Genomic DNA, 3201 nt, shown 5'->3' on the forward strand with positions numbered 1-3201 from the left:
GATTTAAATTACTGTGTGGTGCCTTTCAGCCTGAAGAACTTCCTTTAGTATTTCTTATGAGGTTGGTCTTCAACCAATACATTTTCTCAGTTGTGTTTTTTTTTTTTTTAAATCTGGGAATCTCCTTCTCTCTTAATGGATAGTTTTTGCTGGATATGAGATTCTGGTTTGGTAGTTGTTTATCTTTTCTTTCAGCATTTTGAGTACGTTATCCCACAACATTTGGGCCACCATTATTTCTGCTGAGAAGTCAGCTATTAATTTTGTACATCATGACTCATTTTTCTTTTGCTGCTTGGAAGATTTTCTCTTTCCCGTTTGTCTTTCAATATATTTACTATGATATGTGTGTCTCAGTGTAGATAACTTTGTGTTTATCATACTTGGAGTTTGTTGAGCTTTCTGTATATATGAGAAAATGTTTTTCTTCAAATTTGGCAAGTTTTCCGTCATATTTTTCTTTCAAATAGTTTTTTCTGCTCCTTTCTCACTCTCCTCTCCTTCCGGTACTCCCATTATTTGTGCATTGGTATGTTTAGTGGTGCCCTACCTTTTATATGTTTCTGTTCATTTTACTGTGTCTTAGAGCTACCTGCCTCTTATTAATTGCTCTCTACCCACAAACATGTAAACTGTTTTCCCCAACACCCTCAGGCACGGATTCCCTACTTTCTGTTCCAAATAAAGCCAGTCCTCCCCAGCAAGACTGCAGAGCTACCTTGTGGCCTACCTATACCTCTGGACAAAACCCCAGCATCTCTGCATCACAGCAAAAAGGCTGGGTCCTGCTTCTACAAGAGTGAGCTTCCCACTTTATAAGTGGGCCCTGGTGGGGCTAGGGGTACCTCCTGGTCGTCACAGTCTGACCCTCCCAGCATGACACTTCTATCCTTCAAGTGATCTGGGACAGGGAGTGATTGGGACCCCTGCACACTTGACCTGTCACATCTGGAGCAGAGTTTCTATTGTATGAGTGGGGGTTGGGTAGAGTAAGCAAGACATAGCCCCTTCAGCTGTGCTGGTCTGAAATAGAGCTTCCGTAACATAGGGCTGGGGGGATAAGAAATGCTACTGCCTGCCCATCCAAGGATGGAACTGTAACCCCAGACTAAGATCTAGGGGACAGGATACCCCTGACTTCTTGGCTGCATACACCCTGGGTAGAGGTTAACACAGAAGGCCATAGCTCAAATGCAACAGACTCTCACTGTTCTCACCAGGAATTGGTAGATTTTCTCTACCAATGGAGAAATAAATGTTTCTCCATTTGCTGTATGGCCTTAGAACAATTTCCAGAAACTTTAAATGATCTTTTAAAATAATATCACCCAGTAAATTGTTTTGTTGGACAGAGGGTTCATTGAGCTCCTTACTCCATCATTCCAGAAGTCTCACTGTCTGTATTTCTTCACAAATTTCTTTGATGTGTGGTAATTTGTTACATAGTAATAGGAAACTAGACAAGTGTAATTTGTGTTCTGGTTGCTATACTATTGATGTATTTATTGAGAAGCAATCAGCCTCCGCGGAGATGTGCCGTAGGAGCAACACCTCTCCAGAAGAGTCTCCCATGTGTGCCCAGAAGCAGGTGGCTGAGGGTGTGCCTCTCTGGAGACCCCCAACTTTTCTGAGGGAGCACACGGGGACCTGCTTAAAGCACAGGAGCAGCGTGAACCCAGAGTGCTGTAAGGGCCTTCACCGCTCCTGCCTGGCACCCAGGAGGGTTGAGGAACAGCAAGTCCCAATTCCTATAGCCTTAAAGCACTCCTGATCAAAGCAGCTTATCCTCAACTTCTATCAAGAAATAAATTCAGGGACAAGTGACATTTTAGACAAAGGTAATTTGAGACATTAAATGCAGTAGGAATGGTGGTCGTCCAGCTGAGGGGGATCCTTTAAAACTTATTCTGGAGACGGGGTGAGAATTAAAACCTTCAGGTGAAGCAAATGTCACAAATGGTGAAGACAAGCAGAATAAGAGGCACAGGCAAGGAACGGAAGCACATGACATGCTGCTGCCTTTCTGGGGATGGCCAGGGCACAAATGTGTCTCCCATGTGTCTGCATGGGGCTTAGCATTGATGGGTTCATTGCAGAAGCAGTGATACCTAGAAAGGGCCTGAACACATCAGCTGTCAGACAGCAGGGGAAGCGTTAGGTAAATGACTGCATTCATATAGTGGAAAACGATAGACGTCAAAACTCAGGTGTTTGATATTTTATGTTACGTTTTAATAGCATAAGGAAAAATAGAGCAGTTATTCTAACAAGCAGGGCAGAGGCTTCATGAAGCACAGCTCTAATTAGTACTATACAGTGTATACATACATATGTATCATATTTTCCAGTTCACACTGTTGTAGAAAAAAAAAAAACGGGTTCTTGTCACATGACAGGAAAAGTTAGGCATGCAGACACTTTGAAAGGTGAGGGGAACGGAATTCACTTGGCGAAAAGGAAAAGGGAAAAATAACTCTCAGCAAAGCAAGAGAGAGTCCTGCTAGCAGGTTTTCCATCTCACAAATTGAATTCCAGGTCACCACACAAGAACAGGAGAAGCCAGGCTCCTCCCCGCTGCAAACCGCGTGAATTCCCCGTGGCTCCACCTACTTCCCCCAGTGCGCATGTTGGGCACCGGTCTGCTGTGAGCATGCTCAGACAAGCCCTGGGCAGGTTCCCTCATCTGCACAAAAGCATCCATGCAAACACTCGCGGGGCTGGTCGGAGATTCGCAGCGGACCCCTTTTTATCTTCCTGGGCATTTTGCTGTCTCAACACCACACCACACCTCTGGCATGTTTTATGGAAATATAGCTATAGAGATGGTTATATATAGATAGATATTTTTAACTGGAATGCTAAAAAAAACTGTCATTTATTTATTTTTTAAATATTGAGCTCTATTCAGTGGATATAGAGCTGTTTACATTTTTTTCTTCCTTTCTTTCCTTCCTCCTTTCTTCCTTCCTTTCCACTTTTCTTTTTTTCTTTTCTTTTCTTTTTAGAGACAGGGTCTTGCTATGTTGCTCAGGCTACCTCAAACTCCTAGGCTCAAGTGATCCTCCCACCTCAGCCTCCCAACTATAGGTGTGAACTACCACAGCTGGCTAAAGCTGTCTTTTACTGAGTGGCTATTTTATGTCCTGTCATGCACAGTGCTAGGTGCTTTGGAACAAGCATTTCATTTATTTCTTGAAACAA

At 43.3% G+C, this 3201-nt stretch overlaps 1 annotated feature.

The window, feature by feature from the left end:
* Window positions 2470–2764: an enhancer, noted in NCBI's record as "tiled region #12308; HepG2 Activating non-DNase unmatched - State 21:Repr, and K562 Activating DNase matched - State 5:Enh". NCBI's record gives its function as "activates a minimal TATA promoter and a strong SV40 promoter by Sharpr-MPRA in HepG2 and K562 cells {active_cell/tissue: HepG2 | K562}" and the evidence as "EXISTENCE:reporter gene assay evidence [ECO:0000049][PMID:27701403]".

This window comes from Homo sapiens, chromosome 9, assembly GCF_000001405.40.
Source record: "Homo sapiens chromosome 9, GRCh38.p14 Primary Assembly".
Taxonomy (NCBI): domain Eukaryota; kingdom Metazoa; phylum Chordata; class Mammalia; order Primates; family Hominidae; genus Homo; species Homo sapiens.